Here is a 27,802-nt window from a genome sequence, read left to right as displayed (position 1 = left end):
CACTGCACTGTTAGTCTACATAAATTTATTAAAATATTTTATTTTTAAATAATAAATGAACCTTAGTTTACTGTAACTTTTTACTTTATATGTTTTTACTTTTTAAGTTTTTGTAGAAATACTTAATTTAAAACACATTGTACAGCTGTGCAAAACTATTTTTTCTTCACATCCTTATTCTATAAACTTTCTTTCCATTTTTAAAGATTTTTTTAATTTTTATATTTTGTTAAAATCTAAGATACAATCACACATATTAGCCTAGGTTTCCAAAGGATTAAGATATTACTGCCTTCTACCTCCACATCTTGTCCCATTGGAAAGTATTAAGGGTGAAAAACATGCATGGAGCTATCTTCTCCTATGAAAACAATGTCTTATTCTGAAACACCTCCTGATAGACCTGCCAGAAGTTTTTTTACAGTTAAGTTTATTGTTTTAAAAAAGTGGAGGGAGTACACTCTAGCCATAAAAAGTACAGTATGGTAAATGCATAAACCAGTAACATAGTCATTTCTTATTATATCAAGTATTATGTATTGTACAAAATTATATGTGCTATATTTTTATATGACTGGCAGCACACTAGGTTTATTTATGCCAGCACATTACACCACAAGCATGTGAGCAATGTGTTGTGCTATGACATTCTGACAGCTATGATGTAACTAGGTGATAGGAATTTTTCAGCTCCATTATAATCTATGGAACCATGATCGTATAGCAGTCTGTTGTTGACGCAAATGTCCTTATGTGGCATATGACTGTATTTGAAACCACAGATTACATAGTTCCATCACTTGTTTTTTTTTTTCTGGATATTACAGTCATTGATTGTTCCTTCTCTTAACATTAGTCTTCTCAACAATATTATTATGAAAGCCCAGGCTTCAATCTCTAATTCTATTCCATTTACTATCTACACTTTCTTTCGTCCTTTGCAATCTCATCAAGTCACATGGCATAAAATACTATCTATATGCCATTGATAAATAAGTTTATACCAGATCTCCCTTCTGAATTCCATACTACTGTATCCAACTACCTTCTCAATATCACCACTTGGATTCTAATAAAGTTATCAAACTATGAATTATTTTAATATAATTCAACAAATGTTGAAAATCTTGACACAGGAAATCAAATATGTCAAGACAGTTGCAGTCTCAGATTATAGTATATTAGCTATCATTCAGGCTTTGGGAAACAGCACATCTGATATCTAACTCTTTGATCTCTTTATTTAAATCACTAACAGAAATATTAGGCCATATAAGACCATTAACAAGTGAATCAATATAAAATGGGAATTAAAATTGCAAGGAGAGCTTTAAATTCTACCTCCTTTTCCTACTCCCTAGCTGTGGGATATTACCACATAGCTCAGAGTTCTTACGTTGTGTGGTAAGTAATGATTACACTGGGAGTAGCAGAAAGCTTGACCAAAAATGACTTATATAAATAGGATTACATTTTTCATTTAATAAAAATGCTGGAGGTAGAGAGCTCAGGGCCGCTTGAAATACCCCAAAACACCATCCAAAATTTAAGTTTAGAGTATCTTTCTACTCTGACCTCCTTATTATGTGGTCTAGTCAAAGATGGCTGCTCCTTCTCCTTATCACTATCATACATTGTCCCAGTTGGGAAGAAGGGATAAGAAAACAATTAAGGACAAAAGACAAAACCTTACCTTCACAGGGGTCTGCCTTTTTTATTTCTGAAGACAAATTTCTGAAAGGAAGCCTTCTCTCAGGGACTTACATCTCCATGTTATTAGCCAGAACTGTGTCATATTAACATAACAAGATGCAACAGAGCCTGGAATTTTAGCTAGGAACAGTGAAACCTTGAACAAAACCAGAAACATTTTAGTAACAAATAAGATAAATTGGTTAGTCAAATAACATGCATACCAAAAAAATTAATTGAGATAATGTAAGCAAAAGCACCTACCAAAGTACTTGACAATAGGGGCCTCAGCATATACAGGTCTTGCTGAGCAACATTGTTGAATACAATTTGAATCTGTCCAATACTACCCTTAGCCAATCATAATTTTACTATTTTATTAACAAGGATATCATAGGAGATTTGGGTCCAAAGCTTTGCTCAGACATAGGATTTTGAGAGGAAATTCTAGGTGGCAAGAATTGCCTGACACAAGAGATAGAGGATAGTAATGAGTATATTAAGATGAATGATGATGCATTAACCTAGAGCAAAGGGAGGCTCCAAAAGGTACCAATCATTTACACAATCCAAGGTGTGACAGTAAATGAGCCAAGAATTTTAGTCCATTCTTGTGTTTCTTAAATTTGTGCTCTCTCTATATGCTTCTGTTTTCCATGTGCTCACTAGGAGGCTGGGGAGGTCTAACCAAATTTAGTAAGACCCATTAAGTATCCTAAGCCCCTTGCAGTTCAACAATGTTAAAAAATGCAAGATATTTTTAATGTGGAAAGCATTCTTTCTTCCACTCTCCACTGAGAGTTTGACAAAGTTTTCCTCAGTTTAAACTTGTAGTTTTTGTGTTTGTTATCTTTTTCAGCACAGTTTGGCCAATCACAAAGTCTCCTACTCCCTGCACAAAATTATACAACCATGGCAACTACCCTTTGAAAAAGAAATATTGCCATAGGGGGAGGCAGCCAACTCACTCAGGCTCAACTAGTCCAGAAGTGCTAAGCAGCTGCAAAGAACATCGAAGGGGAGATGGCTGGGGCTTAGGGCATTTTGAGAAATTAATTTGAGAGACTTTGACTTTCTTCATGAACCCCTCTAGTTGAATAGCACTTTTCATCCTATGGAGCTCCTGCCTGTGGAATTCACTATGGCAGGGGGTCAGCATATCCAATATATGACTGAATTTCAAAAGAAGCTGACTATATGCTAAGAACAAAAAATAGCACTGCTACCTATTTGTCAGGATAAGAGAAATGCATCATGGGCTATGGGATTAAAACATACTCAGCAGGTACCAAGATAAGTTTTCTTTTCTTCTCAATCTAAGGTGTCTTACAGTGGAAACACTGCTAAAATTTCCTCCTGAAATACTAGGTTTGGATTATTTTAATATGTGGATGTTGAGTATAATACATCACTATTTGTTCACTCAAATAGAAAAAATTCAAGCCAAAATAATTGTTATTTTTCATTTCTTATGGAATTTCTGTCAAATATTTTTTAAATGAAAGTTTAATGTATAGGCCTTAGTTTCTTTCTTTGTACTCTTTTTTACTATAAGTGAAACTCATCTTGTTAATTATAACACCTAAGAAACATTATTAGTGTTACTCATTTTATGTAAGACTTGACCTTAGAAATTGTGCAAAATAATTGTAAGAGTAATTACAGTTTTAAAAAATAATATGTTGAGATCTCTTATAAAGCAAAGGTTTACTCCCTAATTTATATTTTTGTTGTTATATTCATACTTTCACATGTGTTTGTGTATATATATATCTGTACAAACATGTTTGTATAGTTGTGCTTATTTTATACATTTATATTTTAATATATGAATACATAATGCTCATTTATATAAATTAGTTTATATATGTATGCCATAAAAAGTTTAAATATATACTTATTAAAAAGGAACTATAATACAACTTTGTGAAACTGTTAATTAAATGGGCTTTTGATTTGTTTTAGAATTTTTCATTTCTTTATTTCTCTAAATTAGTTTTGGAAGACATTGACAAAATTTTTTGAAAATTAGCTCATATTACAGATTTATTACTAAAATATTTAAACATGTCTGGGATATATATATATATATCCAAATATATTCTACCTTCTTTGTTCATATAACTATATCCATGTACTACGGAGTGATAATCATGATCCAGAGACCTTATAAGAACATCCAGAATAATCACAAATGTAGGCATACTTATGCTTATTTTTAATGTCTAATGGAATGATTGATTTTTAAATAACTATTTTGTTCCAGACAATAAGTCATTTTATATACACTGAAAATTTATTATTAATATTTTAATTTGATGTAATTCTCACAATGCTCTTTCTCATAGAACTCCATTCATTCTAAAGATAAGAAAACCAACATTTGAAAAAAAATTGGCCTGCCAAAATCAAGCTCTAAAAAGTGGAAGCAATACTAATATTGAGTTTTATGATGTCAGGTTTCATTTTTTAAGGTTAAACTATATTAGCATTGCTCAGAAGTATTATACAATCAACACTGTATTTATAAAAATAGAATATTAGATCATCTTTATGATAAATAGATGAATACAGAGATAACAAACACTATCATCAAAAGGTTTCCTCTTAATTTGATTACTTCTGAAAAGAAATATTTAAGAAATATATCAAAGTCAAGTGTGTCAACAGTAGTAAGGGATGTGTAAAAGAGGTCAAATAATATCTTGAAACATTAATCTGTTTTTCTTTTTCACACTTTATACTACCTGCTAATTTGTTTTTCCAAAAGTTAGAGTCATCCACACTTCCTTGACATAAATTGAGATTATTATAGTATAGTTACAAAGAAGAATGAAAAGTCAATGCTTATTTGTTGACCCCCAAATTTGGATTGTCAAGCCCTTAACAGAAACAATGGCTTTGAAAGCTAAGGTTTTATTTTATAATATTATGTTTCAGATGTGCAAAGGGTATACAGAATAATAAAGAATTTGTATTCATCATTCAGATTAATATACTAAATGCTTATAAATATAATTGTTGTATCCTTTGTATTTCCAACCAATCACATTCTCTTTTTTCTCTACCATCTTGAGTTTAGTCACTAATAATTTCTATGCATTTTTGAGTAGTAATATACTCACATGGTTTACAATTAAACATATAAATAATATATAAAGTTTACTCCTACTCCTGCCTTCATTTACCATGTCTCTCCTATTTGCTCCCTCCCTCCCTTGGATGATTAATTTTCAGTTTTTTATGTGATTATCAGAATTTCATATATCACATTTTTAATACATTTTTTACATATGCATGTCTACCTAAACAAAATATAGTACCTTTCTGCTTATTTTTTAACATTTTATATTCTTCTACAATTTGCTTTATACATTATAGATTATAGTTGTAAATTTTATTTATACTTGTATTATTCAATCTAATTCATTCATTGTTATTGCTGAATAGTACACCAGTATACAAATATAGCACAATTTAAAATCCATTCTATCATGGACATTAGACTGGCCTTGAATTTTGTTGTTGTTGTTTGTTTGTTTGTTTTTTCCAGTCATGAACAATGCTGCTAGGATATTTTACATATCTCTTTGTACACATATTTGAGCATATCTTTATGGTATATACCTAAGAAAGAAATTGCTGGACCACAGAGTCATTTTTTTCCTTCACTAGATATTGCCAAATCATTCTCTAAAGTGGCTTTGCCAATTTGCATTCCCCACCATTTTAGTTTCACTTTATCATTTTCTACTTTCCAGTGCCCTGTGAGTTTTCCTTACTTTTGTAATCTCAGTTATTCATTTAAAAATATTTATCATGTGAAAACCATTTTGGTGTATTTGGTAACAATGCATATGATGTTGATGAAAATCAAGAAAGCCAGAGATAAGGAACTGAACCTGAGAAGATTACACACAAAGATGCAAAGTCAACATTAAGAAACAGCCCAATCTGCAACAGTGCGAGACTCCGTCTCAAAAATAAATAATAAAATAAAATAAATAAATAAAAATAAAAATAAATAGCCCAAGCTATGTGGAAGTTTCAGAAAATGCAGGATGCTTTCTTTTCACCCACAGTATAATTAAGGGTGATCTCTAAAAGAGAGCTCCAAGCCTTTGTACTTCAGTACAATTAGAGAGTAGTGACATGCACCCCTGTTACACATGTTGTTACAGTAGGTAGCTAGTCAAGCTAGTCAAGTATGAGCAGGGCAGGAGAGGGCTTCCCCTACACACCAGGAGTGTTGGGCGACCATCAGGTGAGGGTCAGGCGGTTGTTAACTGTTTCTCTAAAGTAATAATTGGGCCGGGCACTTTGGCTCACGCCTGCAATCCCAGCACTTTGGGAGGCGGAGGCGGGTGGCTCACCTGAGGTCAGGAGTTCCAGACCAGCCTGACCAACATGGTGAAACCCCGTCTCTACCAAAAATAGAAAAATTAGCCTGACGTGGTGGTGGGCGCCTGTAATCCCAGCTATTTGGGAGGCTGAGGCAGGAGAATCACTTGAACCTGGGAGGCGGAAGTTGCCGTGAACCAAGATCGGGCCATTGCACTCCAGCCTGGGCAACAAGAGGGAAACTCCATCTCAAATAAATAAATAAATAAACAGTAAAGTAATAATTGATCACTGCCAGCGCCAGGGAAAGGCTGTCTCCTAGTAGATAGAAAACACCTGAAACTGATCAGCAGCTTCCCAATGAGATCTCAGGCATGGGAAGAAGTAATGCAAGATCCTGGAAGTATGTCAACGCAGAAAACCCCAAGTCAAGAGGTCAAGCTGTGCGTTTAGTTTCTCAAGTCACCTGCTTGGTCCCCTTCCAAGTTGTACTTTCCTTCTTTTCTTTCCTTTTCTTGCAGTTCTAAAGCCTTTTTAAATAAACTTCCACTACTGCTCTGAAACTTACCTCGGTCTCTCCTGTCTCAGGCCCCTCAGTCGACTTATTTCTTCTGAGGAGGGGAGGACTGACTTTGCTGCGGACCCGCACTGATACGCAGACAGTAACTCAGGGTAACTCGGGTTCGTTCTACTGGTAACAATGTCATAAAAGGAACTAAGAGCAAATGATAGAAAGTCAGAATGATGGAAGGAACTGTAAGCCTGTCTTCAACATTGGAATTCTGTAATTTATTCCATTCTTTAAAGACTGATATTGCTCTGCCAGGAAGGCATATTTATTTAAAATAACATGGAGACCCCAAGATTTACAAAAACAATGAAAATGGGACTTTTGAAGGTGTAGTAAATTCTCCCAAATCAGAGAGATTCAAGTAGTGACTGTAATGATATCTGCATTTGGTTTCAGTTTTATTTAAGCCCTAGCCCAGCACTTTCCAAATATTAGACACTTAGTAAATATTCATCAGTTCAGCTAAGGAATGAAATTATTGACCCTTAAGTCTCTTCCGATCCATAAAAATCTTGCAAATATTTCTAGAGTATTAGCTTTGTATTCACAACCATACTGCAAGTGTCTTAGGAAAAATAGAGTATTTTAGGCTTTTCTATAAGACTGTTAAAAAGTTTCTATAGCTTCTCTAGAATAATAGACACTAATTTCGCCCACATTTCATAGGGAGGTGTTTGACCGCTAGGCAGGGACAGCTGAGAGGGTAGTTGTATATTGTTTTTGCAAATCTTAGAAAATTGAAACAGCCAGGAGTTTGAGGCTGATGAGAGATATAGGGAGAGAGGGACACGTCTACCTCCCCTCAATACCAATGCAAATTACTTTAAACAGACCTCTAGAGCTTGAGAAACCCTGAGGTGGGCCATAAGTATCATGTCTGTGAGAAAAAGAGAGAGAACTTGAAGTTATTTTAGATTCTGCTCAAGAAGATCATCAGGAGGAAGAAGCACACCTTGGCAGAAGGAGGCTTGAGGGAGGTTAAGGGATCAGCCGGAGGCATATTCAGTGGAGAAAACAGAACTGCAGATGAGAGCAATTCCCACATCTCCAGCAGAAAAAATCTGCCTCTTTTTAGCTGAAGAGGTATTGGGTACAGTGAAAAGGATCTGGGAAGGTAAAAAGGAAAGAAGTGTCTCCCCACCTACCCACTATCCTCTTTCCAGATGCACTTTTCCTACTCAGCAGACTTGAACTAAGGTTGAGGCAAATATTTCACTTTGATAGTCAGAGATTTTATTATTACACTGTAATTTTATTATTACATTATAACAATATTATTATGAGGATATGTTAATTACTGAACTGAGACTATTTGAGAGACTAAAGTGATAAGAGGATTTTTAAATATTATTATTATCTTAGAGTGAATAGATAATCCACCCAGGCTACCTCCCCAAATTTATTATATGAGAGAAAAATAACAGCTCTTGGGTTTTGTAGATGCAACTGTGAGGAGAAAACATCTTTATGATTACACTCTGAGTCATGGTTATTCAATATAACAGTTTAATGAACATGAAAGAACTCAGAATTTGGGGTCCGATAGGATGGTATTCTAATCCCTTATTTCAGAATTACTAACAGTATTAACTTGGGTTCCTCACTTAATTCCTTTGGGTCTCAAGATCTTATCTGAAAAATTCCAGGCTATAAAGATTAAATGCAATTAAGTATTTATGTGAAAAATGTATCAGATCGCTTGCCACATAAAAAATGCTCAATATACATAAATTTCTTTCCTATAGCAAATACCAGAGTTCCAAGCACATAAATATGCTCTGTCAATGCATGTGAATTAAACTTGATTCAACTAAACTCTTTTCTTTCATCACTTCTTCATCACAATCAATATGGTATTGATTGAATAGAGAAGACAGCAAATTATGGCTTTTGGGCCAATTCTAACCCACCACCTAATTTTGTAAATAAAGTTTTACTGGAAAACAACAATACTCATTCTTTACATATACTCTATGATTGCTTTTAGGTAATGAATTTGCATTTTATGCATCGTAAAGGCAGAGTTGAGTAGTAGCAACAAAGAACATAGAGCATGCAAAGCTCAAACTGTTTACTCCCTGTCCCTTTACAGAAAAAGTTTGCTAAACACTAAATTAAAATTAATGAAAGAAAGAGTGAAGGAGGATTGCCCACTGGCTCTTACATTTTTCTGTATGGAAGTGACACACATCACCTTCACTCCTAGTCCTTTATCCAGAGCTATACATATAGCCTCACCCAGCTGCAAGGGGTTGAGGCAGGTGTTCAGTATATGCCTTTGCCACATGCATGAAATAGATTACACTTTATAACTATTTTAAAGATAAAGATACAAGGGGTGAGGGAGATGAAGAAACTTGCCTAAGGCTACACAGCTAGTATGGCATAGTCAGATTTGAAACCTAAGCCTTTTAATCTCCACAGACCATGACATCTTTTTGCTATATTCCTTTATTCTCTAAATGTTCTTTATTTTTCTTTATTTCCCCAACTAAGCTTGCTATTCCTAATACCAACTTGGTTTTTAGTATAATAGATGTTTAATACGATGGAGATTCTTATCTAGTAAGAGATGACCTCACCATAGGATCCCTTCATTCTTTGTCTTTTTGTTTGTATATCTAGTTAAGATTGGTAATTTAGAAAGCATTTTTTTTTGTATTTATTTATTTGGCAAGTATTTATTGACTTAGGGTCTAGTAAATACTGAGGATCTAGTAAAAAATTGAATAATATAGTATTTATTTGTGGGTTATCGTATAATATTTTCTGGGGAAAGTTTCTTTTCTTTTCTTTTTGAGACAGGTTCTTGCTCTGTCGCCCAGGCAGATGTGCAGTGGCACGATCTCAGCTCACTGTAACCTCTACCTCCCAGGTTCAAGCAATTCTCATGCCTCAGCCTTCCAAATAGCTGAGATTACAAGCATGCACCACCACACCCGGCTAATTTTTGTATTTTTAGTAGAGAAGGGGTTTCGGCATGTTGGCCGGCCAGGCTGGTCTCGTACTCCTGACCTCAAGTTATCTGCCTGCTTCAGTTTCCCAAAGGGCTGGGATTATAGACGTGAGTCACTGAACCCAGCCCTGGGGAAAATTTGAAAATAATAAAAGATGCTCCATAAGAGTATCTTTTATTCCATAAGAGGAGATATCTTTAATATAAATAGTTATGCTCATGCATAAGAGTTTATTTTTTCAGGTTTCATTTCGCTTTTCTCTTTCTTTTCCTGAATCATTGCAACATAATGAGAGACTTAGGATTTTCTTCATACTCTTAGATGAATGTGACTAATATTCCAAACGAGTTTGTCTTATGTTTTTGTTGTTGTCATAGATGATTTATATCTAGCACCAACAAACTAACTAAAAACCATTTGTTTTAATCTGGAATTTTTTTTTGCATACACAAGAGTCAGAATATCTTTTTTAAAATGGTTTTGGAGAAAAGGTTTAGAGAAAGAAGGATTTAACACATATTTCAAGTGGAATTTTTTGTCTTATAATTAAATAGCCACAATATAAAAATTTAAATGATATAAATTTTCGAAGTCTAAGTGAGAAATAAGCCTCTGATTTTTAATATTAATGTTCTAGTGTAACAAAATACAGAAAAGCATAAATCATAAAAATATTTTATTTTATATTTCAGTGTTTAATAATACACAATATTAACTTCTAGGCTAAACTGATAGAAAGCAGAGAAAAGCAATAGTTATGTGTTGGGGTTTAAGCCCTCTATTCATTTTTTTTTTTTTGTAAAACTTGTCCAAAAAAGCTCAGAGAATATATCAAAGAGATGGTGACTAGATCCTGCTGAAAAGTTCCACAGGCATATTATTCAAAATTAGATATACTTTTTCTTCCATACCATTACTCTTGTCCAGAACTTGAAGTAGGCAGCTTTCAGACATGCTGCTTTTTTTTTCCCAGTTGTAGCAAATAAATGGTATACTTATTCATGAGAATCTATTTCTAATTTAGAAGCCCCACCTTTACGTGTACCTTTACCAAGCAAACCTCAGGGGAAAGTAATTAAAACAAGTGTAACGTCATATGTATGTGTTGTATTCTGGAACTATAGAAATTATTTAATTGCCATTAGAATGGTACCTTTTTCCTATTTTTTGAATTTTAATATGTAATTATGTATTTGCTATTAAATTATCTTTTTCTCAGCCACTGGAATCAGATACTGCTGTGGTGAAATATATTTTCCATAAGTTATCTTTCCAAACTCAAAACTGATTTTATTATTTGCTTCAGTAAGCAACAAAAGGGTACTTAACCAACTATGAAAGATATGTGAATAATGGAAATGCGGACCTAGTGGGAAATAGATGCTTGTAAATAATTCACCAATTTTGCAGATGCACAAATCCATTTTTAAGCTTTCAATATTTACAATCAGTATAGGATGTGAACACACAGCTTCCAGAAGAGAAAATACTATGGCATTTAAGCATGAGTGAACATAAAACAATCTCAATCACACTAAACACATAAATGCAAACTGAAGCTTCAGTGATGTTTCATATTTTTACTTGTCACATTGGCTAAGATCAAAAATTGTAAAACACTGTATTTTGACCCATTGTTTTTTGAAATAGGCTCTCTCACATATTGCTTGTGAAAATATAAAGGTAAAGCCTCTCTGGATGGTAATTTGTAGTCATTTGTTAAATTATGAATTCATATGTCTTTGACCAGAAGTTTGTCTTTTAGAAATCATTGTATAGATGTATTTAAAGATGTATGTACAATTATATTTTCAGCATTGTTTATAATGGTTTAAAAAAGGAAACAAGTTTAAATATCGATCCATTAGAACTGGTTAAATAAATTATGGAGTCCTATCTTGCTGCTAAAAGTTTTATGTACTAATACAGAATGATTAGTAAGATGCAGTGTTGAGTAATAAAAGAAAGATGCAAAACAATGTGTGTGGAAAGACTAACGTGTCAAATATTTAAGCAAAACTATATAAAGATATGTGGGATATCTCAGAAACTGAAAAAAGCAAAAGCAAAAAAGAATTGCTCTGGGGGAAGAGGTTGGCCCAGGAAGAAAAGTGAAATAAAATCTTACATTTCAATATATTTAAGTTTTTATAATTTGCATGCAATGCCCATTCAAAAGTAATTAAGAAGATAATAATTTGGGAAGCTATTTCTGAACTGCAGTACAAGAATTACAGACAAGATCATTCAATTCTTAATTTCTATAAAAAACAAATATATATCATGAAACTTTGAAATTTATATTTAATACAAATGGATTTTATATTTATTCAAGGGAAATTATGGTATTAATGAGGCTAAATAACTTTAAAATATGGTTCCGTCTATTCTCCATTCTTACTCCTATCTTTTACAAGGGTTCTAATATTTAATTTTAGATAATGAGGCCTCTTCTAAAATTAATCTTGTGCCTTTAATTATTCAACTATCCAACCTTGCTGAAATCATTCTAATTATTACCACTGCTCAATAGTATTAGTAAAAATTACATTTAAATTCAAAATAATTTAGAGATCTTAATATTCCCACAAGCATTTAGCTATTTTTATACTTTCACCTCTTGAGATTAAAAAATAAATAAATAATATTGAATACAGATAATATCATTGTTTTAATTTAAATGATTTTGTATTTTTATCCCTAATGCAATGCCATAGAAGGTGGATTACAATTAGCTCTCTATTTTTTGATTTGTAAATCCCACCTCTTGTATTACCTTTTCATTTACACTTTTAAAAATTTTATGATGCTCATATTCTTTTATTATCTGTTAGGTTAATCAGCAGACAAAATGTTATGTACATTTTCTAGTGCATTGCCCTTGAGAAATGAAGCTTATTATTCATCTTGAATAAATAAATACCATGTGAGATTGTAATGGTAGATTTCAAACAACATGAACTGCCACCCAACATTATCTGGTCTGCTAGATTATGGCATCTATTTTCTAAAAGATTCTATGCCTACATATTGAAAATAATAGTATGTGTTACTGAAAATAACATGTGGCATTTAGAAAACTAAAAAAAAATCTTTACAGTGTCTATTAAATTATTTAACAAATAATTTCCAGACTATGATCCTTCTATTTAACATTGATTTGAGTGGGAGACAAGAACACAAGTCAGCCTGAAAAATAAAAAGTAGAAATGGGGGCAATACATATACTTCTTTCATGGGTGAGTCTTAAAATTTTGATTTAGGTTAGATAAATTAAATTACTTTGGCCTGTGCTGCCTCTCCCCCACCACAGCAATATTATTCCCAAGAGTCTATTTTCTACTGCTGTATATATGATTTGCAATGATGACATTCAAAGACTTTGTATAGCATTTCTCCCTTCTAAGCCATATACAACAGAGGCACAACACACAGTAAGAAAAAAAATGTCCAGCTTAAATATGAATCTTCATTGAAATTTCTGTTTGTGACTGTTCTAAAATTCTATACCATAAATATTCTGAGATAAGCAAGCTTAAAATATGTTTATTAAAGTTTATCTTAACAAGAAAATAACTTCTTTTCTGTGACCTTTGGAAAGTAATGTGAATGCTTTATTTTTCTTGATAGTGATGCAAAGCAACAATGAAATGCAAAGCCTGGTCATTAATCACATCATAGATTAAAGAGGGTATATTTACACTGTGCCCACAAAAGAGCTCTCTGATGGCTGGAACATTGTGCCCATAATACAATGACTCCACAAATTTTGTTAACTAAATGTCAATTCTGAGCCAGCACTACAGGAAATTTTAATGAAAGATTGAGTAGTACAACAAACTTGGACACTGGTAGTAATTTTCAAGTGAATGGGAAACTAGTAACCACACTCAAAACACATACAGATTCTCCACCCATGTTTTATTTGAACATAGCCAGATTAGCATCTAAAACAAGTCTCTCCTTTCAAGCAGATGGAAACATTGACTTGCATCAAACACTTCAAAAAGTCCAAACATCAAACCTGAAGATTGAATAAGTCAATGTTTTTTTCTTTTGTCCTTTCAGGAAGGGGGAAAACTCAACCACTTCTTGCTCTTCTTTACTCAGGTTTATCTTTTGATTGCTAGCAATTCTGAAAGATAGCATGGTTTGACCCTGTAGATGGACATACTTGTGACTAGGAACAATTGTTGATGTAATGAAAGTCTTCTTCCTTTTAAATCACATGGGCCTTTAGATCAAATTGAAAAATATGCTTATACATTTTTTGAAAACAATACTTCTAATCACATTGCTGTAGTGCTTATTTCTTAAATCCAGTAAGTAAAATTTTTGATATTTTTCTCTTATTTAGTGGGATCTTTTAATAGAAAATGACATGGTTTTCATGGACACAGGAAGGGGAACATCACACACCGGGGCCTGTTGTGGGGTAGGGGGAGGAGGGAGGGATAGCATTAGGAGATACACCTAATGTTAAATGACGAGTTAATGGGTGCAGCACACCAACATGGCACATGTATACATATGTAACAAACCTGCACGTTGTGCACATGTACCCTAAAACATAACGTATAATAAAAAAAAAAAAAAGAAAATGACATGGCTTATTGCCTTCCTGAGTGATGGTGATCAGTGGTAACTCAATAATTTCTGTACAGAAAACAGGAAAGTGGAAGAGGGGATAATGGGTGCCAGTTGAAGCCGTCTTAAATAGCAAATAAAAGATATTTACTTTGATTGTATTCTCATGTATGAGCAAGACTAATAAAAAATGTCGGGAGGTCTCTAAATCTCCAACAACTCTTCTCCCAATTTGCCACTGACTCCAACTACAGACAGTGAACTAAAATGCTTTGCAAAAAATTACCCAACCAGAGTACAAGGTCTGTAGGCACTGCAATTTCTGGCAGCAGACAGAGACCACACAATACACTAAGCACTGGCAGAAAATCTCTCAACCTCTTTCTTCCTAGAAATACTTGCAACCAGAAAAGTTTTTGCAAGCCATTGTCAGGTTTTATACAAAGTGTAATTACAAATTTTCTAATATGGGTCAAAATTTAAATGAGTTACTAATTTGATAAAGGACAGCCAAACATCACATTTCATCAAACTTTTAAACAAATAATTAATGTCTTAACATGTACTTAAAATACTAATTCCATAGTTTAAGTAGAATGTCTCAGTAGCTCAAAATGTCCAATTTAATTCAAATTATGTGTGAAGAAGAAAGTAATTTTCTGAAAAATCACTTAGATTATCTTGAGGACCCAGAAGCGATTTTTGCTTCTCACAACTAATTTGAGATAAGTTTATGCTTATTTTCAATCTTAGGTCTGCTTCCATGGAAAATAGACTCTGAACTGAATATTTACACAGAGGTAGTTTCTTGGGAAGTGTATTATTCTGTTGTCATACTGCTGTAAAAAAAAATACCTGAGACGGGGTAATTTATAAAGAAAAGAGATTTAATTGACTCACAGTTCCGAAAGGCTGGGGAGACCTCAGGGAGGAAGGGGAAGAAGCATGTCCTACATGGCAGCAGGAGTGATAGAGAAGAGCGAGCAAGAGCAGGGAAAACTGCCTTGTAAAACCATCAGATCTTGTGAGAACTCACTAACTGTCAGGAGGACAGCATGGGGGAAACCACTCCCGTGATCTAATCACCACTCTGCCTTGACACATGGTTATTACAGACCTCTCCCTCAACACGTAGGGATTACAATTCAAGATGAGATTTGAGTGGGGACACAGAGCAAAACCATATCAGGGAGTGTTCTTTATAAAAATGCCTGGATGGATTAAGGAAAGGATTGGTCAGAAGAGAAATTGTGATCCAATTGCGTTAAGACCTTGGCCAATACAACAGAGTTCAAGAGAGGAGGGCCCTTCAGGATCCTAAGTTGAAGCAAGAAGGTACCAAGGTCTAAACTCTTACATAGACAAGTCATTGCATATGGTCTCCCCAGGGAAGAAACAGGACCTTAGACAAGGTACCTCACTTCGGCCTAGGGGAAGTTCTGGAGAAGAACTGACTTGTAAGTCCTTGTTTAGGAACATTTCCAGCAAATGAACAAATGACTGCCTCATTCTGAAGTGGGGGATCTGCATGATACACTACAGGATTTACAGGGCTTTTTTTTTTTCGATATAAATCTGAAGTCATTCAATTTTTGATAATGAGAACCCATCAATTGTTAGTTTCTTATATCTGCCATGCAATTATGGGTATACAGAGTTTAATATATTCAGAATATTGTTGACTCTAACACGAACACATCTTGACTATTTGTGAATGTTTGTGTTTTTTATTGACAGAAGGAACTGTTTAGCATCATTGATTTCTCATTAGCAATCTTTAAAACATAGATTTTTGACACAACACACAGTTGCAAATAGACAAAATTTGTCAATACAACTGTCACAGATGAAAAGAAAGATCTGACTTTCCTTTTGTAGTTCTGCTTTTCGATCAATATCTGTTTAGGGCTTGGATGAAAGGGTCTCCATGAGCAGGTCACAAGCTTTTGTGCTGACATAAATTCTGTGTCTTTGCAGCTGTGTGTTATGTCAAGTCTACACCATCTCTCAGCTGGATTCTTACAATCTTACACATCTTATAAGCTGCCAGTGGTTCCTCTGTGTTCCATCCTTATTTCTCAAAATCCGTTCTCTACATAGGAGCCAGTGAAAATGTGTTAAAATGTGAATTGGAAGACCTCATTCCCCTGCTTAAAATATTTCCATAGCTCCCATTGCACTCTGAATATATTCTGAAGATTTTTATCATGGCCCACAAGGTCCTTTACCATCTGGCTCCTACCTGCTTCTTTCAAATGCCCTCATAAAATCAACTGAGTTCCTAAGATCAAGCAACACTGGCCTCAGTTCTGTTTGTGTAAAATAATAAACATTTTTGACTCAGAGACTTTGCACTCTGTGTTATTTATACCTGAATTATCTTCTCCATGAGTCTGGGCAATAAACGTCCTTTCCTTCTTTAATTAAGCTATCCAAGGATAGTTACATATTGCCCTTCCTTCCCTCCTGGTCTTCTATTACTTCTCCAGGTACCTGCTCACACCTTGGCCAACCAAACCAATTTTTCTCTATAACACCTTCATCACAACGATCTGTAGTAATCGTGTTTATGAATTTGATAACATGCTTATTTTCTATCACTTTTTCACGAGAATGTACACTGCATGTTTTCTTCCTCCAATTTTTAATAATCTGTAACATCTCTCCCAAACAATATTTAATAGACATAGAAAGCACAAAGGGGAGAGCATGTGAAAGTATGATACTTGACTGTTAGCCAAGGACTAGACCAAGAAAAGTGTTTTAGGCCATGTTCAACTTCTGGAGCAATAAAAAACATTGTTAGGATTTTAGGAGTATGGTCTTGAGGTAAGAAGATATGAATATTTCTTTTTTTTTCAGATAGAATATTCTGTTTGCAACATATACATTTTATTTTATTGATATATTTATTTAAATGGTTATCATTAAATTGCATTCTCATTGCAGATTAACACTAAAATTACCTATGTTTTTGAAGCATTCATATTGGGCCAATTCTTACAAAGTATTTCTATGTATTTGCAATATTTTTGTAAAGTACTCATGAAAAAGTGTGTTTTGATTCTGAGAAGAATCAAATATGACCAAACTGTTTGAAATAGTGCCTATCTCAGGCTCTCCCTAAATTCTTTTTTTTTTTTTTAATTATTATTATGCTTTAAGTTTTAGGGTACATGTGCACAATGTGCAGGTTAGTTACATATGTATACATGTGCCATGCTAGTGTGCTGCACCCATTAACTTGTCATTTAGCATTAGGTATATCTCCTAATGCTATCCCTCCCCCCTCCCCCCACCAGACAACAGTCCCCAGAGTGTGATATTCCCCTTCCTGTGTCCATGTGTTCTCACTGTTCAATTCCCATCTATGAGTGAGAACATGCGGTGTTTGGTTTTTTGTCCTTGTGATAGTTTGCTGAGAATGATAATTTCCAATTTCATCCATGTCCCTACAAAGGACATGAACTCATCATTTTTTATGGCTGCATAGTATTCCATGTTGTATATGTGCCACATTTTCGTAATCCAGTCTATCATTGTTGGACACAATTGCTTCAAAGAGAATAAAATACTTAGGAATCCAACTTACAAGGGACGTGAAGGACCTCTTCAAGGAGAACTACAAACCACTGCTCAATGAAATAAAAGAGGATACAAACAAATGGAAGAACATTCCATGCTCATGGGTAGGAAGAATCAATATTGTGAAAATGGCCATACTGCCCAAGGTAATTTATAGATTCAATGCCATCCCCATCAAGCTACCAATGACTTTCTTCACAGAATTGGAAAAAACTACTTTAAAGTTCATATGGAACCAAAAAAGAGCCCGCATCGCCAAGTCAATCCTAAGCCAAAAGAACAAAGCTGGAGGCATCATGCTACCTGACTTCAAACTATACTACAAGGCTACAGTAACCAAAACAGCATGGTACTGGTACCAAAACAGAGATATAGATCAATGGAACAGAACAGAGCCCTCAGAAATAACGCCGCATATCTACAACTATCTGATCTTTGACAAACCTGACAAAAACAAGAAATGGGGAAAGGATTCCCTATTTAATAAATGGTGCTGGGAAAACTGGCTAGCCATATGTAGAAAGCTGAAACTGGATCCCTTCCTTACACCTTATACAAAAATTAATTCAAGGTGGATTAAAGACTTAAACATTAGACCTAAAACCATAAAAACCCTAGAAGAAAACCTAGGCATTACCATTCAGGACATAGGCATGGGCAAGGACTTCATGTCTAAAACACAAAAAGCAATGGCAACAAAAGCCAAAATTGACACATGGGATCTAATTAAACTAAACAGCTTCTGCACAGCAAAAGAAACTACCATCAGAGTGAACAGGCAACCTACAAAATGGGAGAAAATTTTCGCAACCTACTCATCTGACAAAGGGCTAATATCCAGAATCTACAATGAACTCAAAAAATTTACAAGAAAAAAACAAACAACCCCATCAAAAAGTGGGCAAAGGATATGAACAGACACTTCTCAAAAGAAGACATTAATGCAGCCAAAAGACACATGAAAAAATGCTCATCATCACTGGCCATCAGAGAAATGCAAATCAAAACCACAATGAGATACCATCTCACACCAGTTAGAATGGCAATCATTAAAAAGTCAGGAAACAACAGGTGCTGGAGAGGATGTGGAGAAACAGGAACACTTTTACACTGTTGGTGGGACTGTAAACTAGTTCAACCATTGTGGAAGTCAGTGTGGCGATTCCTCAGATATCTAGAACTAGAAATACCATTTGACCCAGCCATCCCATTACTGGGTATATACCCAAAGGACTATAAATCATGCTGCTATAAAGACACATGCACACGTATGTTTATTGTGGCATTATTCACAATAGCAAAGACTTGGCTCTCCCTAAATTCTTACCACCATTAATTTTCTTCACAGCACTTGTCCTGATCACATCTATGTATCTGTTTATCTGTTAAGTGCATAACTTCACAGGGCAAAACTGTCTTGTGTTCTCCTTTATCTCTGTCCTTAGAATAGGACTTGGCAAATAGGAAGTGCTCCACAAATATTTGTCAAATTAATGAGTGAATGGATCTCCTGATCTAGGAAATTCAAATATATGGAAGCTACTACTTCCCAGTGAAGCTGAATAAATGAGATCTCTTAGTCACTACAGTCCTTTCACTCTGAAAAGGTAATAAAATCTATCTTTCCTTTAATTCCTTGTATTTAGGTATACAAAATAACTGTCTAATCTAAGGGGTTCATATCTTACTAGGAAGTAATTAAACTCTTTTGCAATCTCTTCTATGGTCATGTAAATAATGAATATCTAATTGTTACTCAGTAATAGCTGCATTGATAGTTATTGTTTTCTACATATCTTCTTGGTAAATATGTAGTTATCACATGATAGGAGTATATGTGCTGTTTCAAATAAAGCACACACACATTTGTGGGGAACAAGAGAAATTTTTGTCTTTTTGAATAGTTATTCTATTCATGATGCTGAGTAGTACTCATGGCATCATTCAATAAATATTTGTTGAATTAATATGTTACCATAATTTACACTTAGCCGAAGTGAAGGAAAGCTCTTTACTGGGAGAGGTATCCACATATGTATCTATTTTTCAGTTAGATTTTATTTTTACCATGGATTTTTACCAAGCATATTAGGGAGGCAGGAGCACTAGATTAGAAGTCAAAATCATACTTCTCGTTCAGGCCCTTCCTTATGTGACTGTATGTAAATACTTTAAACCATCTGGGATAAAGCTTCCTGAATTATCAAAAGAACACAAAGTTACTTTATTTTTTAAGGTTCCTTTTGAAATCAGAACTGTATGTTTTCTTTAACTCTTACCATGAAAGTCCATTTTCATATACATCTGTTTTCAGAGACAATGTGTAGATCAACATAAATTTTTGTCTCTTTTCAAGTATTGTAATGAGAAAGTCAACGAATTAGTCTTTTTAATTCAATTCCCCTTTGTTGTTTGTCTCCTGTCTGAACTATATGGCATCTTTCTAATTGCATAATTAAGGGATAATAATTGTATCAATGTTGTTATTAATCTAAGAATTAATAACTGTGTGAGACGGATAGATGAGTTGACTTACAACAGAGGAGTTTTATGCATTTAGGTGCTGTTGATTAAAGCGAGAATATAGTAAAACTACCCAGGCCAGTGTTCTATACTGAACAGCTAACTCAAGCAACTGCTTGCAAGGCCAGTATGACATGGATATTGTGTTGGCTAATATAGTTTCTATCTGATTCTTGCAGGGATTTTGAGGCAGTTAATGTTCTCTATTAGCCAGTTGGATCAGTTACATTACTTAGTAACCTTTTATTCAATATAGAATTACCAATGTCTTTGAAAGTGAGATGGAGTGCTTTATACCTTATAGTATTTAAGCTATTAAAGATTCCATTAAAGAAGAGTTATCAATAGAAAATTATATTCTTTATTATAGTTTATCTAAGAAAAAAATCTAGTGAAACAACCAGTACATAAAATAAGAATGGTTTCCTTCTACATTTCAAGTAAAAGTAATTAAGGTTTTAGTCTTTTTTTATCTCTGTGATGTGAGCTATGAGATTGGACTAAGAGACACCTTAACTACATTCTCTAGTACAGAGGGCATGGTAAAATCAGTCATGTGGTTTCTTCTGTGAGGCTGTCTGGGATATGCCAATACTTTTAGGGGGAGAAATCTTTTCCTCCAACTCATGTGTATGTCTGTTTGTCACCCTAAAACAAACTCTGTTTCCTTTTTCTTCCTCCCCAAATCTGGTTATTAGAATCACTTAAGACCATTCTTGGTTATTCACCTACAGAATCATGATTGTGTTTGGGGACCCGCCATTGCACTCACATAACGGGGAATTGAAATCATCTCCAGCTCCAGAATACATGTCAACCTAAGATAGTCGTGGCAGTCTGATTCCCTCTACCGATACATTAGTTTATGAATAGGCATGGGAAGCACATCTGACCTCTTTCATTCTTTCATCTTTTCAACAATTATTTTTGATTGACCCCTATGTGCCAGGCACTCTTCAAGGAATTGGAGATACAGGAGGAAATCCAAGTCACTCTACTTCCTAGGGCTCATATTTTAGAGGAACGAAACAAATACAACAAACATAAAGAAGTCAATAAATAATATCTCAGGCCATTAAAAGGGTCATGAAGAAAACTAAAGCCAGGAAAAGTGATAAAAAGGAATGTGGGAAAAAGACCCTGTATCAATATATGTGATCAGCAAAGCCCTGCATATTAAGTGGACATAGAAGTTGTGACAAAAAAGTTGGAGGGTGGTGGGACTAGAACACAAATGGATATTATTTTAATACCTATAATTGCTGTGCAACCCTAAGAGACAAGAATATATGGAAAGAATGTAGGATTGTCTAATGTCCTGTGATCTTCATATTTATATAGCAAAGGTATGTTCATATATCATGTAGCAGACAAAAAGAAAACTCACTCAACGAATACAGCCATTTCTATGTGGGTTTTAAGTGATATTTTAATTTCACTTAAAAATTAATATTGGCCAGGCACGGTGGCTCACGCCTGTAATCCCAGCTCTTTGGGAGGCCGAGGCAAGTGGATCACGAGGTCAGGACTTTGAGACAAACCTGGCCAACATGGTGAAACCCTGTCTCTACTAAAATTACAAAAATTAGCCGGGTGCATTGGCAGACACCTATAATCCCAGCTACTCAGGAGGCTGAGGCAGCAGAATTGCTTGAACCCGGGAGGCAGAGGTTGCAGTGAGCCGAGATCGTGCCACTGCACTCTAGCCTGGGCAACAGAGCAACACTCTGTCTCAAAAAATAAAAATTAATTAATTAATTAATGTTGATATTACTCAAAAACAAGGTGTGACATACATGAACACATTTTCCTCTGCCTCATGAACTCTGGGCTGTGAACAGGTTTTATTAAATTTCGGTTACTTCAGGCTTCCAAGCTGAGAAAGCACCCTTAAAACTTACTTGGAAAGGTATTCCTGAAGATTGTGTAATATTATATAATTATTTCCTTATTGGATAGTCATCTCTAAACCCTCAATAAATTTATAATTAACTTTAGGAATATTTGGAACAAGAACATAAAACCCATACTGTTAACGATTTATATTTAAAAATCTATGAATATTTGGTAATACAAGTACTTGGTAATACAAGTAATGTTAAAGAGAATGTAATCTATTAGACAGCTCTACTCTCTGACTTGTTTAACATGTAAACCTCAACATGTTTATAAAAATTATCGCTTTACTTTGGGAATGTTTTTCATTTGAGATAAACAAACATAGTACTTGAGGAGCAAATTAAATGTATCAAATTTGTAAATACACCTTAAATATTTAATGGAACATAACTAAGATTATTGAAGGGAACAAATATTAACCAAAGTTTCCTTAAAGGTAATCATTATAATTACTAGTCTTATAAATAGAATCATAAAGTATATAAGTCAAACTTTTTAAGAATGTGATTTTATAAAAGCAATAACTTTAGTAAATTGACTATTTTTTTTTAAATTGACTAAATGTCTGAATAATCTTTAGTGTGCCAAAAAGTACCTATGTGCACAAAATAAAACTTACATTTGTCAGTGGAGTAAGTTTTGGACAGAGACGTGACTATCATGGGGAAATTAGCCACAAGGAAAGGCTATCTCTGGCAGTAGGAATAGCAGTTACAAAAGCCCTGAGGCAAGAACATGCCTGCCTGATGTTGGTGGCCAAGTGTGATTGCTGGAATTTGTGTGGCCATCTTGCTCCCAGACCAGAGCATGATGCCTAAAATAGAAAAGGTTAGTCCCCAGGACCAATGTGAAGTAGAAGCCGATTCCTGGAATGCTCTGCCCATCTTAATTATTATTATATAGAATAACAAATGTCCCCTTTTTCCAAAAAAAAAAAAAAAAAGTTTGAGTTTGCAGTTATCTGTTGCTTGCAGGTACAACACCCCAATTCAGGTTACTATTTATATTATTTTAACCTTCTTCAACTTGCCAGTCAATGAGCAGGCAATCTTTACCAGGTAGGTAGACTAGGCTATATGATTTTCAAGTAGATTTCCATTTGCAGGTTAAGATGTTTTGTCTAGATTGTCACATAATGACTTACATATTCTTGCCATGTCAGTTTTACACACTTTTTTTTTCCTCTGAGTTTCATTGAAAGTCTTCTGATGAATTTCTTCTCCTCAGTTTATGAAGAAGTAGACTGAGAGGTTAAATAACTCATACTTGAAAGCAAGGTTTCAAGGGTCAAATCCGTTGCTATTTTATTATACTCGGCTGTTAAAAACTGGTCTTTGGCATAAAGCAGGGGACAGTTGAAATTTTAAAGTCATAAATCTGGGGAAATGAACCTTTAATAAGGGAATTTTCAGCAAACTAATGAGAAAAATGATTTGGTGGAGCAGCCTTCTATACAGAGCTCTTCCAAAAAAAATTAATAATAAAATAACAACAGAAGAAGAAAAAAAACAACTATCAGTAGCCTCATCTATTAACCCTGTGTTGGAAGAGCTAGGAGCTTGTGGGGGCATTTGAGAGAATGTCTATCATTTGGTAGCTGAGTATTGAGATTCAGTTTTCTGATTACTAAATTATCACGGAGAGTAATGTACACATATAACTGCTAGCATAGCACCTGGCACATAATAGCAGCTTAATACATGATAATCACTCTTGGATAAAATAAGAGCAAAAGTGAATTGCCCTTTAAAAATTTTACAAGACATCACTAGAGGAATTGTATTTTTAGAACATTCAGCAACTGATTCTATGCTTTGAAGTTGCATAGAAAAAAAATCTTAACTTTTTTTACTAATATATTTAACACCTCCCTCCCTCTTTAACTCTGCTATTATCTTATCTGTCTAACCTCTACCTTCAGCACTCAGTCTCTGGTTGATTCTGCCCAGCATCTATTAATACACAGTAATACAATAAAAATAAACGAAGGATTTCATGAAATGTTTGAACATGGTATCGGAGATGAAGATACAGCAGTTAGATAAATTAAAAGTGATAAAGAGAAAAAGATGAAGTCAACGGGGATAATAACACAAAACATTCTAAATGGAAAGTATTAAGACATTAAAAGATCAAGACAAGACCTTGAAAAAAATAAATTAACCTCAAATACTTTTATAAAAATGAATCTCTTACAGTCACATTGACAAAGTCCAAATAAAGTAAAGAATTCCATTATGTCATACCATTATCATACATTTTTATAGAAAATAGCATTTAATTCATTATTCTTTGAAAAGACAGAACTTAATGACAATTATGAGATATTTTATTAAATATAAGATGAAATAAATTTATTGTCAATTTCAAAATGTAAAAATCCAATTTTTTTCATGATTTCATATGAAAATTTTCCTCCTCTTTTAAGCAATTTTACTGTGTTATTTGCCTTAATTAAGTTATCTTCTCATGTTAGAACTTCCTGTAAAACAGTACTGTTAAAGGCTGTTTCTCAAATTACAAGAGAAGACTGAAAGTGAAAGAAAAAAATCCATTAATTGGGGGGTAGTCAGTAATGGAAGGTTCATAGCCTGAGGAAGATCACAGCAGCAATGTCAGTAATACTGGCCCTTTCTACTGCTCACAGAAGGAATAAATAATGTTTAATGGCCTGGATGGTTTCCCCACTCAAGCTATCCCTTTGGGCCGTGGTTTCATTCAATCACTCAATAAATATTTATTGAGCATTCACAGAGTCAGGTAGGGTCTATTGGGGATACAGTAGTGTACAAAACAGATAAAAATCCTCGTGAAGCTTTTTTTCTAATAGGAGATATACCCAATAAAATCACATGTAAGTGAATTATCTAGCATGTTTTCTACTAGTAAGTAAGAAAAGAATAACGTAGGTTTGGGGTATATAAAATGTTAGGTGGGGCTATATTGGAAATCTTAAATATGAGCTAGGAAAATCCCCATGAGTGGTTATGAAGTCAACACTGGAAAGCAAAGGGGATAGCTATGAGAACCTCCGTGAGAAGGGCATTCCTAGCAGAGACAATAGTGAGTGAAAGGGCTTAGAAGTGAGAGGATGCTGAGGTGTTCGAAGAACTGGTAGAAGTGCAGAGTGGTTGGAGGCCAGCAAACATGCAGGGGAGGCATGGGAAATATGACTGGAGTTGTGATAGACAGTCAGTCTTCCTAAGCCTTGCTTCCTTTTCTGCCAAATAGGTATAATAAAGTTGTTCTCTGCCAAGGATGGCTGTAAGTATTCCATAAGATAATTCTTCCAAAGTACTTAGTACAATGACTGACACACAGTAACTGATTAATAAATTTATATTGTTTGACATTCATGGAAATGGAGCCAAAAAACTATGCATCCCTGATAGCACCAAACATTTGATTCATTTAACTGACTCCCATAACTCTGACTCCATGACTGCTAGGAAAGCCTGGGATTGTAATTTCACTTCCTCTATGGTTTTACCTACAGGAGGAATATGCCAGTATTACTAATGTAGGTGTTCCAAATTAGATGACATTAAGAGTTCCCTTTCTAAGCTGAAAAACTTTAACTTTGCCACTGAGACTAAGTAATAAGAGTTTGCCAATGAGAAACAGATCTACTTTTGTCCATTTTGCTTGAAAAATCTGTTTTATAATTTGAGATTACCAGACTCTACCATAGAAAATTCCTTGAAGTTATTCAACTCGGGGCAGCAGCCTTCAGGAAAGCAGGGCTGTCCAGGTACTATGATTGTATCACTTTTTATTTTTAAATATTGCAAACACCTGACCACCACTTACCATTACTCAATACTGTCACATACATCATCATATCTTATTCTCTACATTTTTTGTGAGTATGCAAAACAGCTGGTACCATCCTTATTTATTTGTTTATTTTATTTTATTTTATTTTATTTTTGAGACAGAGTCTTGCTCTGTTGCCCAGGCTGGAGTGCAGTGTTATGATCTTGGCTCACCACAACCTCCACCTCCCAGGTTCAAGCGATTCTCCTGACTCAGCCTCCGAGTAGGTGGGACTTCAGGCACGCGCCACCATGCCTGTCTAATTTTTATATTTTTAGTAGAGACAGGGTTTCACTATGTTGGCCAGGCTGGTCTCAAACTCCTGACCTCGTGATCCGTCCACCTCGGCCTCCCAAAGTGCTGGAATTACAGGTGTGAGCCACCACACCTTATTTTATAAATGCAGAACTAAGACATTGAGAGGTGAAAAGACAGACCTGGACCCTGAACCCAGTTATTCAAACCTCTCATCATGGAAGCAAACCTTGGGATCTAGTCCTAGAATCTCCATTATCAGTGATGTGATATTGAAATATCCTTCCTCTTTGGGTCTTTGTTTCCCCAGGGAGTTGAACTATAATATTTTGAATATAAGGACTCTAGAACTAAGATAATAGCGAAATGAGCAAATTAATAGAATATTTGATAAATAAATTAAACTAGACCAGGAATTAACAAAAGAATATATATGTTACAAATGAAAAGAAACACCTCTCCCATCTACCGTGTACAATTTATGTAAAAGAAGTTGAGGAAGTGGGAGAAACAGAGAAAGACAGGCCCTGAACATGTGTATGAAGCAAAGGGATCCCAGGCACATTGACAGCTACTACTTATGTTTCTATTTTTCCCTTGGAGTTATTTCATGGAAAAAAAAAAGTTAATTAAACTTATATTTCCCAAACAAAGGGAAATTCAAAAAAAGCCTTCCTGAACACTCCAAAAATATCTATTTCTTAAAATTTTTCAGTTTTTTTAATTGCATTTGTTCTGAAGTACATGATGAAGCAAATTATTGAATTAGTCACTACAATATTTCTGTCCTTTTAAGATCCCACCATGGAATCTACAATGGTCTGTTTTTGCTGGAGACTTCTATCTATTATCTCTTGGTTCACTGATCTGTGTGTTTATTGGACATGTTGAAGAGGTCTTGAGGGCTTTGGCAGTCCAAGTCCCCTAGAGATTTTCTACCCTGTCATCTTAAAAGGGAACTGTGCTGCATCATATGAAACCACCCTCACTAGTGCAGTGAAGTGGCAGGGAAAAGGAGGGCAGTCAACTCACCTCAAATGACAGAATATGTTTTGGAAAATTGCCTGTCTGGTTTTCTTAATTTTCCTAATGAATCTACACCAGCTATCTGAATACAACAGAGATTTCAAGAAGCTACAATTTTCCTGCTCCACACTACACTGATACTCCAGTTAAATGCATGCATTTAGGGCAAGATAATTGAAAGGATCACAAATTAATTGCACCTGTTTCAAGCTAACATAGAAAAACTCTTTAGGATCCTATGCATTAAAATGTCATTTCTCACAGGAATATACCAGTGCACATAACCTCAGATTAAGACTCTTTTATTGGGGTAGGGAAAACGGGAAAGAGGATCACTTATTCCTAAGAGAATACGTATTTCTATATCCATACATAAAACACTCTTGTATTTTGGTAGCAGGCTTTTAATTATATTCCAGGGAGAGAGTGACTTACATTGATTATTTACTAATAGAATACTGAGAGCATAAAAGAATGTGATTCCCTCCTCTATAAACAATGATAGCATTCATGTTTGTTTGTGCTGGCATTTGAAAATTTCCTCCCTTCT

General features: G+C 34.5%; 1 long non-coding RNA gene across 2 annotated transcripts in view; it reads right to left on the bottom strand.

Annotated features, from left to right (window-relative positions):
- Positions 1 to 6,679, bottom strand: part of LOC105369838 (uncharacterized) — a 122,994-nt gene extending 116,315 nt beyond the window's left edge. For both annotated transcript variants that reach the window (XR_945088.2, XR_945089.2), the window contains exons 1-2: positions 6,602 to 6,679; positions 1,694 to 1,849 (exon numbers count right to left, since the gene is read on the bottom strand). This is a non-coding gene — a long non-coding RNA (uncharacterized LOC105369838). The remainder of the gene's footprint in view (positions 1 to 1,693; positions 1,850 to 6,601) is intronic.
- Between the last annotated feature and the right edge of the window lie 21,123 nt (positions 6,680 to 27,802).

The sequence above is a fragment of the Homo sapiens genome, chromosome 12, assembly GCF_000001405.40.
Source record: "Homo sapiens chromosome 12, GRCh38.p14 Primary Assembly".
Classification (NCBI taxonomy): domain Eukaryota; kingdom Metazoa; phylum Chordata; class Mammalia; order Primates; family Hominidae; genus Homo; species Homo sapiens.
Note: the sequence above shows the minus strand (reverse complement) of the source record. Positions and strands in the feature narration are given on the sequence as shown.